The sequence below is a fragment of the Homo sapiens genome, chromosome 8, assembly GCF_000001405.40.
Source record: "Homo sapiens chromosome 8, GRCh38.p14 Primary Assembly".
NCBI lineage: Eukaryota > Metazoa > Chordata > Mammalia > Primates > Hominidae > Homo > Homo sapiens.
In genome coordinates, this window is record NC_000008.11 from 22,809,489 (window position 1) to 22,823,547 (window position 14,059).

A 14,059-nucleotide genomic window follows, 5' to 3' on the forward strand; every position below is an offset into this window, starting at 1 on the left:
ACCCGTTTAGACTCTGGAGTAGCAATATGGCCTCATGAGTAGGCACGTAGGTTTTGGGCTCCAATCTCAGGCCGCCACTTGCTAGCTGTGACATCTTGGGCAAGTTGCTTACCCACTCTGGGCCTCAATTTCTCATCTCCATTACCTCTGTCTTTTATGAGGACTGCATGAGGTGCTTATGTAAAACACAGCACTTGGCATCACTTGCCAAGTGCATCAATGATGTTTTTCTTATTTTCCTTCTTCCTCTCCCTCTCTCCTTTTCTTCCTCCTTTTTATTCTCTCTTCTTTAGTTATTGTTGTTGTTAATATGTTCTATGGATATGAGCTACAGGAAGAGTATCTGTGGCCAGGAGAGACAATATGCCAGGTGGAGACACTGTGGGAGATGCCAAGGGGCACACCTTACAGGTCACCTGCACCAGCCTTCTACCCAGTGGGAAAATTTCCTGGGTCACCCATGGATAATTACTGTCATTAATAAAAGCCAGCTCCTTGGTGGGATATATGCTCAGTTCTTGTGCAGTTCAAATTCTTAGAAAGTTCTTCCTCATAAGGGACCAAAATGTGCTTCCCTGGAAAACTTCCCCCACTGGTCCTGATTCCGCCTGGTGGAGTCCAGCAAGATCTCTTCTGTTTTCCAACGAGATTTCCTTAACTCTTTAAAGGCCATTCCTTCTCGTGTGTCCGTAGTTGTTCCAATAGGCTAGCCTTTCCTACTTCCTTCCGCTGCTGCTGACCTGATGTGGTTTCTACAGAACCTGACCATTCAGGTTGCTTTCCTATGCTGGTCATTATCCCTCTTAAATTACTGCGGCCAGAACAGAAGACATTATTCCAGTGTGGCATAAACAATGCAAACAGATAGAACTTTCTAAGACCGAGGAAGGATCACCATGCTTCAAAGATGCTGCCCACCCTTCTCCCTCTCCCCTCCCCCACCGCCAACCCCCTCGCTTCCTAAGAGCATCTGCTCAGGGGTGGGTGTCTGAGGCTCAAAGGACAGTGAAAAGCCCGGGTTCCTCATGTCAGGGCAAGGATGGATTTGGGCTGTTGGTCTTATACATTTTCTGGCTTTGCCCATGAAGGAGTGCCAGGAGCCACCAGCTGCCCCCTCAGAGCTGAGTTCAGAGTTGGGTGAGCGAGACTGTGCTGTTCCCTTTGGGGTGTCTCATGGAGGGGTGTGTGTGTGTGTGTGTGTGTGTGTGTGTGTGTGTGTGTGTGTGAGAGAGAGAGAGAGAAAGAGAAAGAAAGAGTGAGTTTTCTGCCTGATCCAGGAATTCTCCTGGATGGCAGAATTGGTTTCCATAACGACTTTCTGATATAAACATATTTGATAAAAATAAGTTAACAGTGGAGCTGTGGTGGAGCACAGAATCTCAGAGTGCTGAGAGAGAGAGAGAGAGAGAGAGAGAGAGAGAGAGAGAAACCTCCTAGAAGAACAGCATTTTCTTTCTCTTTCACCCCACCTAGTCAGCCTCTCTATACACGCTTGCCATAAACCAACGAAAAAGCTTTGTTTACAATATTCCTGTATATACTGGCTCCCTTCCTGCATGTATACCTTATTCATATCCGCACTCTCTCTTTCTTTCTCTCTCTCTCTCTTTCTCCTTAGTTACCTGAAGCACTACAGTATGTATGGGATAATATGATAAACTCATTTCCAATTCACTGCATTATCCCTTGAATATTTTAATGACTCATTGAATGAAGTGAAAAAAAGCTATTTCAAATGAACAATTATGCTGCATTAGTCTAAGGGCTGATTATATTTAAACACTGCTCACATGGATAACAGGACACAGCGACCTCAGCATACGAGAGCTAATTTGGCTCTTATCTCCAAATAATTTCACATCGCAAATTACCATGAAAACCTAAAGGGCTTTAAAAACATTCATCAAAAGATAATATTCCGCTTTGTAGCAACATTTTATTTAAATTATTTTGAATGGGAGCAAAAGCATCTCTAGGGCGGGACAATGACAGCAGAGTGGGACTGTGAGTGATAAGGAGATGGCAGGGGCACTGGCTTCTGTTAAAAATAGAGGTGGGAAATGTTGGAGAGGAAGGGGCTGCAGCCCCAAATGTGGGCAGTGCACCATAGGCCTGGCTGTCACTTGCAGCCCAGCATCACACCTGGGCTGTGGCCTGGGACGGCTCCAGGGAGTCTGCTCTGGTTCAGGAGGTCACAGGGGATCCCTAGAGGTGGAATGATGGGACTGACCAAAGGCTTCCAGGCTCCAACACGCTTTGGTTTCCTCAAAAGCCAGCTGGGGTCACGTTAGGTCCTCCAGGCTGGGCCTGGACTCATCTAGTTTCAAAGGGCAAAAGGATGAGCTGTGTTGGGCACTGTCTAGAATTTTCACTTTGCAAGACTTGAGTCCAATTGTCTAAGGGAGTTTGCTAAATCATAAGTAGCTGCTATGGTCAGATGTCAAAGTTGGGGGCTGTAGGGGAGATAATTACATTTACCAAAGTCCTACTATTCTGTGTCAGAAGACTTAATCTCATTGAACGCTGGGAAATAGATATTATCATGCCCATTTTAATGATGAAGAAACTGAGCCTCAGAGGCTTCTCCTCTTTGCATATGTAATTTCCTTTTTCCTTGTCTCCACTCTGAAGAGTGAGGATTTCTGTCAGTTTCACAGAGGCAAAGTTGCAGTCTCAGAGAGGTCAAACAACTCGCTCAGCAGTGGAACCGATCACTCAAGCACAGGTGTCCTGGCATGTGCTACCCACATAACTAGAAAGCAGGGAGCCATAATTCTTGCCCTGTTTATTGGATTTCCCATTATCTTATTCACCTAATGTACTTAGAGGTCCTTCCCACCTGGAAGCGGCAGAGCCTGGAACCTCCTCTAGTTCATCTGACCCAAAGTCCGAGCTCTTTCCCTTTCCCTTCAGGGTGGCCACATACAAGTCTGGTTAATAATCACCTGGTTTATGGCCACCTCTGTGCTGTCTCCATCAGCAAGCACTCTTTATGGCCCATAGAGCTGAACCTACATGTTAGGAAGCCTAAGTCACGCCTTTTAGCTGCTTATTAGTTAAAATGGATCCTCACAGTACAGGTCAAAGCATGCATGGGAAACTGCACAAATATCAGTGGCAAAACTGCAAATACAGCTCTAAAGACAGAAGTCATTATTAATCCCATCTCCTTGGTTTGACCTCTTCATCTGAACTTGCAGGCCTGATAAAGATTGTTTATTCTGTTTATTATCATTAGTGTGGTTCTGGATATATAGAAAATGAGATTATATCATTATTTTTATATCGATATATTTAAATTTCTACAGGCTCTGCTGCTCCATTGATTAGGCACAAGGATACACGTGCCGCTTCCTATAGTGCCTCTCTCTAGGGACGCTTCTCCTCTTTGCATATGTAATTTCCTTTTTCCTTGTCTCCACCCTGAAGAGTGAGGATTTCTGTCAGTTTCACAGAGGCGAAGTTGCAGTCTTAGAGAGGTCAAACAACTCGCTCAGCAGTGGAACCGATCACTCAAGCACAAGTGTCCTGGCATGTGCTACCCACATAACTAGAAAGCAGGGAGCTATAATTCTTGCCCTGTTTATTGGATTTCCCATTATCTTATTCACCTAAAGCACTTAGAAGCCCTTAGGAAAAAACCTCTAATTATGGAAAAATTTAACCCTACAGAAAAGTAGACAAAATAATGACCCTTTAGAGACTCTTTTAATTCAACCCAGAATTGGTTGCATTTACAGTTGCCAAAGGTTGAGGGCACTGAATGAAAGGGAACCATGAACTTGCCAATTTCCTTTTCTTTCTTAAAACAAAAAAGATATTCAGGGCAAATTTTAGAATCATTGACGGTTTCTAGGAAGATTTTCTTTTTTGGAAGAAAAAAGATACTCTTGTCTCCTTAATTGTTCTTAGTGTTCTTTGTCACCAATCATGATATTCTTTGTGGAAAGTATTAATATACCATCTTCCCGTGTTCAATATCCCCATTAACAATAAAAAGTCTAATGAAAATATCTGCATGAAAAGCTCTGAACACTAACTTCAGAGACAAATAAAAGATGCACCAATAAGTGTTTCTTTGAAAATGAATGATGCAAATTAATTGATATCCTAATGAGCTTTCAGCATGAAGATTATTAGTTAGATGGAGTCAGAACTGAAGATCATCTTTAAGGAAATGCTAAGGACACTGCAGTCGGGGAGAAAGATGTTATCTGTCAATGCTCAGTTAGAAATCGCTCTTGCTCAATGAGAACTTTTCAAAGAGGGAGCCAAGTGGGACAGCATACCTTATGTATCTGTCTCTGCCTGTCCTAGCCTGGCCAGGTTCGGAGACTGGAGCCTAGTCCTGTTCCTGAGTTGATGGAAACCCACAGGTATAGGAAGTTCCACCCCAAGCCAGCCTCTGGGGGTCTCGTAATACCACCACTGTGCTGCAGATTCCTTCCTTGGTCTCTAGAATAGAAGCCCTGTGAGGGCAGAGCCTTCCTCAATTTTGTTTGCGTTTGTGTCACCAATGCTAACCTAGCTGCCTGATTTACAGCAATAATAATATAAGAGCAAGTAATGATGTAGAGTTTACTATGTGTTCTGGGTATTGTTCTGAGCACTATCCTTAAAATAATTCGCTTAAGCTTCATAACAACAGTGTGAAGTAGGCACACTACTATCTCCAGCTTACGAGTGAGTATATTGAGACACAGAGAGGTTGAGCAACTAGCCCAAGATCACACAGCTAATAATGGTAGATTAGGAATTCAAACCACAGCAGTCTGGCTCTGGAGTCCTTGCTCTTAACCACTGTGCTATACTGAATAGTGTTCTATATATATTTCTTGAATTAAACGAACAAAGGGGTACCATGAATTAATGCCCGGTCCCTACTGCCAGGCATCTAACTTTTGGCTTTTATTTAAGTTATCCAAAGTTCCAGAGCTTTATCCTACTCCGTACTAAACCCTGCCAGCCCCTCTTTGGAGTGGAGGTGGGGGGTGCCACAGATATTTCTTGTATTCCTAAAAACTCGTTGCTGTCCTGTTTCAACCCAGATAGCCTGTCAAAAAATTGTCCCTACTGAAGGGTTCCTATGGCCATGGCCTGATCAACCATCCAGTTAGACCTGGCCCCCTAATATCAGGGTCAGCTGAAGTTCCACCAAGTTTGCTTCTGTGGTCATTGTGAACCACAGGGCCATGGTCCCTCTCTGTCTGCAGAGACTTTATGGCAGGCTTTCCTACTAAGGCTGCTTGGGTAATGATGGTATTTAGGGTGTAGTATTATGGGGTCCAAAACACTTACCTAGTGTGTTTTATTTAACAAGATAGTATTCACTGGGGACAGTTCCCTGGAAGCATCTACCCATAAAGGATAGTTAGAAAAAGAACTCTGGGAGTGAACCGGGGGGTGGTGGAGGGAACCACAGAGATGATGTCTTCCTTGTTATAGAGAGGGGATAGTGGCTCCTTGTCCTAGTGGAGTTGATGGGAGAGATGTGATGTGAACTCAGGCCACATGGTACGGCAGGAAAGGCATGTGACTTGGGGTTAAGGGACGCGGATTGAAGACTCACCTCTCTTACCCATTAGCTAAGAGATGGCATCATTCAACTTCTCTGGGCTCTGCTTTCCCCATCTATAAAATGAGGATTATGTCTATTTCACAAAGTGGTGTTGAGTTTCAAGAGTTTTAAAAGTGCTTTTCGCTTGAAAATTGCTCCACAAATGAGTGATGTTAAGAACGACCGAGGCATCCCAGCTCTATGGTCTTCCTTCAATCTGCTCAACCCCTCTGGATGCTTGTTAAGCCAGAATGCCGTGTTCTCCCCAGACCGACCGAGGTGGAAGTTCTGCGGGTGGGGTAGTGCCTAGGCAGCTGCATTTTAACAAGCTCGTCTGCCAATTCGAATGCACTCAACTGTTTGAGACCCACTTAGCAGTGGTGAACACCAACACAAAGGAAGTACTCTGGGTTTGATCAGAGCCTTCACTTCCTCTGGTCGAGGTCTAGAATCTGAGACCTAAATGAATTTGGTTGACACCGTCTCTGTGGCTGGTGGAATTTTGGGGAAGGTGGGCAGGGCCAAGTGGATATCGCTGCCGCTTCCTGCTGAACACTCACGAGGGAAGCAGTGCAAATGTGACGGAAACCCGCGCCTCCTCCGGCCTGAGCGGGAAGGCCGAGGGCCGCACCCGGGCAGGTGGCACTGGTAAGCTCTGTGGCTTAGCAGCCTTGCCGGACAGCTGCCACCTGTCACCTGCCACCTGTTCTACTTCTAAGCTGGGCTGCTGAGGCTAAATTCATGTTCGTTGTACAGAGCTCCTGTGAGAGGTCCCTTCTGAGTATGGGGGTAAGGGGAGTGCAGGAGTCGGGGGTCTTCAGGCTTGGAAGAGAGGCAGCCTCATGGTCCCAAGTCCTCTCAATTCTGAAGTCATCCCACCCTAACTGCTTTTGCACTCCGGCCTCAGGACCGCCGAGCAGAGCTCCTAACAGGAAGCCCTGTGTGCCTGGGGTGGCTGTGAATGTGACCTTCAGGGCAATACTTCTCTCTTGAGTGTTTCACCCCTGAGACCGCTGGGGAGGCCTAAGTTCAGAAAATGACAACGCTCTAGCCTTGGGGGGTGAGGGGGAGATGCCAGTTCTTTCTCTTTCATGCCCACTGCTCCTCTCCCCTTCCTGATGGCTCAAACCTCCCAGCTCTGTCCCTTTGTGTGTTTATGGTGTTTGGCCAGGGAAGTGTGTGGAGTAACAGAGGTGGCTCCAGCACTGCCCACGAAGCTGCTGCTTGGGTCTCCCTTGAGGAAGCCCCTTCCAGGGCCATAGGCAGGGCTGCCTCTAAGGATGCCTGTCCACCTGAGCTCCGTGGGAGGGGCCCCGGTCACTGGGCCACCAGCTGGTTGCCAGGGTAACTACCCTCTCACCCCCCTACTCCCACCCAGTGGCTGCGAAAACCCTGCCTTGCTCAGGATAGTCACAAGCTAGTTCAGATTTAAACCCCTTCCTCCACCCACAGTTCTAGAAGGAAAAACATAAACTCTTCATAGTTGCAGAATTATTTGTTTTCCAAAGTGCTCTCATAAGTCATTGGCTCATCATGACAATCACAGCAAGTCAGCAGCACATTTCCCATATTACAGAGCAAGATGAAATGCCCAGAGGAGCCGACAGAGGTCACTGGGTTGGTAGCCAGCCAAGGTCCAAACCACATCCAAACTTTGTTTTTCTAGTTCCGAGTTCCCACTATCTTACAGAGTTGATGCCTTTGTATACTGTTTGCAAAACCCATCTGCAGGTGTTCTAGGCACAGATTCGTGACTGTTTGAGGCTAGTGTGGACTTCCCCAAAGAGCACTGCCAGGCACTCATGAACAAAAGGATTCAATAATCAAATGCAACTGGAAAATCAGTGTATATGATATAGAGCATACTAGACTAGTAAAAGCTCCAAAAGCCCTTGAGTGAGAAACAGAATGAATTCAGTTCAACTCAGAGTATCCAAAACTTGTTTGGCAACACAGCCTTTCCCTCCCACATAATGGCACAAACAAGCCACCAGATTTGAGGACCCTCCCTGAAGAGGGTGAGCCAGGCTCCTTCACAATTATCGTGATGACAAAGACACAAAGATGAGAGGCGGCCACTTGTTTCTGTACACAAAGAAAAGGAAGTTGCTGTGCCTCTCTCATGCCCCATGCCCCATCATGGGGAGGAGCTCCAGGACTTCTCCTGGCCGGTTCTGCCACCTGCACGTCTCAGAATCCCCTCAGTGCCCCCAAATCCAGTGGTGTGCTGAAGCCAATTGTTAACGTTTCAGAAACAGTGTGAGTCAGTTGTTAAATCATCAGGAGCTTGAAATTAAATCACCACTCCCGTGGTGGGAGTATTTATTTATACCATAAAAATCAGCAAACACTAGAAATCAGGACTCTCCCCACCCTTCTAGAAAGCTGGGTTACCAGCATACCACTGGCCCTGGGACACTTTTTGAAATTGTTGGAAAACTTGGGAGGGCTTTGATAGCTGAGCACTGGGGGAGATGGGACACAGAAGTCCTCGCTCCAACCTTCCTGGATGAGAGGTGGGAACTGCACTGAATGATAATCTTCCAGATACAACCCCAAATGCGTCAGAGAGTGCCTCTTGGCCTGCTTACCTTGATATCTGTTACCAGCCAATGTCTCCAGAATCTCTGTCTGGGTTCTGCTCTGCTAGGGGCATCTGGATCCACCATCACCAGGATATAGGTTGCGCCCTGTAACACATGTACCGAAAAGTAATGTAGCGTCATGGCTGAAATAGGAAAATACCACGGGGCAGACCTCCTTTTCCCGCCATTCCAACCGAGAATGGCTGAGTAGCCCCTATGGCGTCCCATCCAGTTTATCCTTGCTCTCGTGACATCCCTCTCACATCACGTTTATTCTCAGAGAAATGGCATCTGTGAAGCAGACAGCAGGACTCTTGGCTTCCTCTTTGTGAGGAAGAATAAATCCAACAAGATATACATACCAAGCACCTGGGAAGTTCTGAGCGCTGTGCTGAGTGCCGTGGAGGAATCAAGGAAACCTAAAACAGGTCTCTGGTCCTCTCAAGAAGAATCCAGTGTAGTTGGAGTGACTTGTTTATCAATTCAACAAATATATGAGGACTTATTTTGTGTCAAGAACGGTACCTATCACAAAGAACACCAGGATTCATTCATCCCTTCAACAAGCCTTTGCTGAACACCTACTGTGTGCCAGAAGCTGCTCTAGGTGCCAGGAGGCAACAGAGCACAAGACAGTAAGGTCCATACTTTCAGGAAGCTTTTGTTCTAGGTAAAAGACGCAGATAATAAAAATAAATAAATAAGCAAGGGAACGTGTGAGTAGTGCTATGATGAAAATAAAACAGGGTGGGATGAGAGGTGGGAAGTGTTCTGGAAGGAAAAAAATAGCTGCTATGAAGGTCTTCAGGTGGGAAAAAAGTAGGCTTTGAGGAGCAAGAAAGAGCACCATTGTGGCCAGGGACAAGCAAGGGGGAGGGTGGACATGGCAGGTGCAGGGGAGGGAGCAGAGGCCAGGCCACAGGGGGCTCTCTAGGCCTGGATAGGGAGTGGGGTTTTATTCAAAGTGCAACACAGAACTGTTTCAGGGTTTGGGGCAGGACAGTGATATGCTCTGATTTATGCTTTTAGAGGATTCTTTTGGCTGCTGAGTAGAAAATGAATGATCTCCAAAGGCCAGAGAGGAGGCCAGGAGGCCAGTTAGGAGACTCGCAGTAGCATGGGAAGGATGTTGGTATCTTGGGCTAGGATGGCAGAAATGGAGACAGAAACAAATAGATGGGTTGGGGGAGTATTTTTAGGTAAAATCGGCAGGGTTTGCTGATAGATTCAACGGCACGGCAGTAAGGAGGGGGATGGAGAAAGAGAAATTGAGGATGAATCCTGGGTTTCTGGCTTGAGCAACTGGGCCATTAAATGGTACAAATAAGACTTGGAGAGGAGGCTGTTTGAAGGTGGACATTCAGAGTTCTGGTTTAGATATCTTGAGTTTGAAATGCCCCTCAGAATATAGGTATGCATGTCGGTCTGTAATTCAGAGGAGAGATCAGGACTGGGTGAATAAATTTGGTAGTCATTGATATAGAGATGGCCTTTAAATCAGTAGAGCAGACACAGAGAAGAAAAGAGGTCTCATGGCTGAACTGTAAAACATGCTACAATTGAGAGGAGGGGAGAATCAGGGAAAGGGGACTTTAGAGCCAAAAAGTTTGGGGGAACACCTGGAAAGCAGGTGTCACAAAAGCCAGGATAGAAAGTGTCTCCAGGAAGAGAAAGTGATCAGCTATATCAAATGCTGCTAAAAGGTAGGGCCAGATGAGGACACAGATGTGACAATCTGATTTGACAACTTGGATATCACTGTTATCACGATAAGACCAGTTTCAGTGGAGTAGAAAGGACTGATATTTGGCTGGAATAGGCTGAGCTGAGATGGGAGACGAGGAATTGGAGATAGCTGTTAGAGATAGCTATTAAAGATGATCATAAAAAGGGAAATTTTGGTAGGAAGGACAGCTGAGACATGGAGTGGCTATAACTAAAGAGGAAAGAAGAGTCAAGATTGTTTTTGTTTTTTTGTTTTGTTTTGTTTTGTTTTTTGAGACTGAGTCTCTCTCTGTTGCCCAGGAGTGCAGTGGTGTGATCTCGGCTCATTGCAAGCTCTGCCTCCGGGGTTCACGCCATTCTCCTGCCTCAGCCTCCCAAGTAGCTGGGACTACAGGCGCCCGCCACCACGCCCAGCTAATTTTTTATATTTTTAGTAGAGACGGGGTTTCACCGTGTTAGCCAGGATGGTCTCGATCTCCTGATCTCATGATCCACCTGCCTCGGCCTCCCAAAGTGCTGGAATTACAGGCGTGAGCCACCGCGCCCAGCCCAAGATATTTTTTAAAGAGGGGGATGATGTTTGTAGACCAATGGAAATGGTCCAGTATAGAAAGGGAGGTAGAGATGACAGAGAGGAGGAAGGGGATCATTACAAGAGCTTTGGGCAGTGGAGAGGGGACACGATCCAGAGTGAAAGTGAAGGGCTAGATCTTGGGTAGAAGCAGAGGACATGGGTTCAGATGCAAGATAATTGGAAGGTGAGATAGTGAGGAATGAGGAAATTGTCTTCCGATTGCTTCTATTTTTCAATGAGTTAGAGGCAAGTTTATCAGGGGAAGAGGGATTATAGGAAGTTTGGGGACAGAGAAAAAGGTGTGAGATAGTCATTTAAGAGAGTGAGAAAATGAATATACCATAGGTATGTGGTAGGTTACCAGATAGTATTACATTTCACAGTTGTGTCCTTTTTAACTGTTCAAGTACAGGTGTGGAATACGTGGTAGTTGGGTTTAACTTGAATGGGAACTTAGGTGTGAGTATGAAGGAAGAGAAGGAAGTGAGAGAGGAAAAAGTGAGTAAGATGAATGGAGTAAATGGAAAACCGTCCTGGCCCTCCCCTTGACCGGGAGAGGCAGGCACACCCTGTTGTTCTAAATGCTTTCTGATGTTCTAAATGCTTAAGCAGAGGAGCATTTATCAACCATGGAGGGGAAAGGGAAAAGAGAGATTAAATCTCTCTACCCCAGGAGTCCAGGAAGGCTGCAGAGTTGTCTTTTGAGCTTGATCTCAAAGGCAGGTAAAGTATCAGTAAAGTATCAGGAAAAGCACTCTCTAGGTACTTGGTAAGGGCATGTGCAAAGGCAGGGGTGGATTTTTGGGGAATGGCTAGGCCGTAAGGCATCTGAAAAGAAATAGTGGGTGACAAAGCTGAAATGGGTATTGGGACCAGAGAACAGAAAGCTCTGTACGTCATAAGTTGTTTAGAATTTATTATGCAACAGGACCCACTGAAATTGTTTGAACAGGCAACTCATATAATCAAATGTGTGCTTTGGGGCTGGGCATGGTGGCTCACATCCGTAATCCCAACACTTTGGGAGGCTGAGGTGGACTGATTGCTTGAGCCCAGGAGTTCAGACCCACCTGGGCAACATGGCAAAATCTTGTCTCTACAAAAAATACAAAAGCTAACCAGGCATGGTAGCCCATGCCTATGGTTCCAGCTACTCGGGAGGCTGAAGTGGAAGGATCGCTTGAGCCCAGGAGGGTGCAGTGAGCCATGACTGCACCACTGTACTCCAGCTTGGATGACAGAGTGAGACCCTGTCTCAACAAACAAAAAACACATGGGCTTTGGGAAGACACATGATGAGACATGAAGAGGATAGAATAAAGGATGAAAAGCAGAGCAAAAAATCCAAACAAACCCTGAAAACTGCAATACTCTGGAGAAAGACCACAGGGATTTCCATTCAAATAGTAGTAATAGAAAGGAGAGACATGTGTACTGCAGAACTCACAGCATGAGGTGACCGGGTAGGGCAGACGTAGGAGAGGAAGAAGCCAGGACGACTCTGAGATTCTGTCTTGGGCAGCTTGGTGATAATGAAGCCATGGATATTAGGGGTAGCAAAGTCAGGGGGACAGTGAGGCAGTGAGTTTGGTGTTGAAATCAACAGGGAGAGATGCCCTGTAAATGAAGTTAGCGCTCTCTCAAGACTTGGCAAATGGGCAGTGGAGATTCATGGATTGCCTGGGGAGAATCTGTAGAGTGAAAACAAAAGAAAGAGTGTGGTGGAACTTGGGAACTCAAAGCGGGACAAGGAAGGGAGAAAGAGGCTGAGGAGGGCCGGGTGCGGTGGCTCATGCCTATAATCCCAGCACTTTGGGAGGCTGAGGTGGACGGATCATGAGGTCAAGAGATTGAGACCATCCTGGCTAACACGGTGAAACCCCGTCTCTACTAAAAATATAAAAAATTAGCTGGGCGTGGTGGCGGGTGCCTGTAGTCCCAGCTACTCCAGAGGCTGAGGCAGGAGAATGGTGTGAACTCGGGAGGTGGAGGTTGTAGTGAGCCGAGATCGCGCCATTGCACTCCAGCCTGGGCGACAGAGCAAGACCTCGTCTCAAAAAAAAAAAAAAAGAGGCTGAGGAGAAGAGAGTTCGGAAGAGAGCCAGGGGAGTTACTGTCATAGATGCCAAGAGAGAAATGAAGGAAGGGATAAAGGTTGTGTCAGTATCACAGTCATCAAGGCAGATGAGGGCCACAAAGTGATTGTTGGTTGTGACAATGAGGGGATTATGGACACCTTTCCAAAGATGATTAGTTTAAAGGTAAAAATAATGACCGTTGGATTTTAAGACCCAGAAGAAGCTGTAAACCACAAACTAGATGCTATAGGAAATTAAATCAGATAATGAGAAGATAAACCCAAGAAAATCTCCAAGGACTCAGAAGAAAAGAAAATAGTAGGTGAAAAGAAGGAATATATACTAAAGTGTGTGTGTGTGTGTGTGTGTGTAAAATCCCAGTAGAATCCCATAAAGAGAAAACTGTACATAGTATCTGACACATCCAAGAAAGTAATAAGAAAATAAAAAGAAACAAAGTGTAAACATGATAAAAGAAGAAATGAAGAAATAAAGCCATATGCCCTCTCTCTTTTCCTTTCTTCTTCTTCTTCTTTTTATTTTTTTGCAAATGACATGATTGTCTACATGAGAAATTTTAAAAAATCAACTGGAAACAAAAGTAATATTCAGTAAACTGTTACAAATTATACACAAAACTGGTACTTTCTACATATTAATAATAGTCCTAAAGTATACATTTAAGATCCCATTAACAATGGTAACAAAAAATGTAAAATAAGTAAGAATGAGCTTGATGGTAAATGCAAGATTATATGAAGAAAACAAAAACATTATTGATGCACAAAAGAAGGAAACTTGGATAGAAAAAGAAATACAATGCTTTTAAATTGAAATAATCATTTTGCAAAAATGTCAATAAACCTTCAATTAATTTTTTAATCTGGCACAATCCCAATCAAAATCCTAAATAGATGTTTTGTGAACATCACAGAATAATTCTAAAGGTAATAATAAATGTAAACAACAAGTAAATAAAGGAAAAATAATTATCCAAGGCAATATTGAAAAAGATAAAATAGGGATGATAATAATTTTGGAGATATTAACATATCTTAAGCTACAATAATTAGAACAATATGGTGTTGATTAATAAATACATAAGTAAAGGAATCAAAATAGAAAATCCAGAGAGAAAGTTGAGTTTTCAATATATGTATATTTACTACATGATAGTTATAATTTAAAATGTTATTTAATATATGACAAAGTAATTTCAGATCAGTGGGGAAAAAATAGATTATTTTATAAATGATATTGGGAAAACTGGCTCACTATGTGGAATAAACAAACTTAGGTCCCTATTTCTTTCAGACACCAGAAAACTTCCATATTTAAATATGAAAATGAAAAACAAGCTTTCAAACTGGTTTAATAACATAATATTAAATTTATGCAATGGAACACTCTGTTAGAGTTAGATCTTTATATACTCATATAAGAAATTTTCTAAAATATACTAGTATGTGAAATAAGTAAGTTACAGAATAATGTGCATGATGTCTCAAATGTGCAGGAAAACTTTATATATCTAACTATA

General features: G+C 44.4%; 1 protein-coding gene and 1 long non-coding RNA gene across 3 annotated transcripts in view, besides 1 other annotated feature; both read right to left on the minus strand.

The window, feature by feature from the left end:
- PEBP4 (phosphatidylethanolamine binding protein 4) overlaps positions 1–14,059 on the minus strand; it is a 227,827-nt gene that overhangs the window by 96,238 nt on the left and 117,530 nt on the right. For both annotated transcript variants that reach the window (NM_001363233.2, NM_144962.3), the window contains exon 4: positions 8,149–8,247. In NM_001363233.2, the coding sequence (NP_001350162.1) occupies positions 8,149–8,247 (99 nt within the window). The remainder of the gene's footprint in view (positions 1–8,148; positions 8,248–14,059) is intronic.
- On the minus strand, positions 1,917–8,133 carry LOC105379325 (uncharacterized). Its single transcript, XR_949584.2, has 2 exons — positions 5,570–8,133; positions 1,917–2,317 (listed from the first exon to the last, which is right to left on the minus strand). It is a non-coding gene; the product is annotated as an uncharacterized LOC105379325 (long non-coding RNA).
- Positions 2,608–2,786: a silencer, noted in NCBI's record as "fragment chr8:22669609-22669787 (GRCh37/hg19 assembly coordinates)". NCBI's record gives its function as "represses an EF-1alpha promoter that drives an FKBP-Casp9 reporter gene in an ReSE screen in HepG2 liver carcinoma cells {active_cell/tissue: HepG2}" and the evidence as "EXISTENCE:reporter gene assay evidence [ECO:0000049][PMID:32094911]".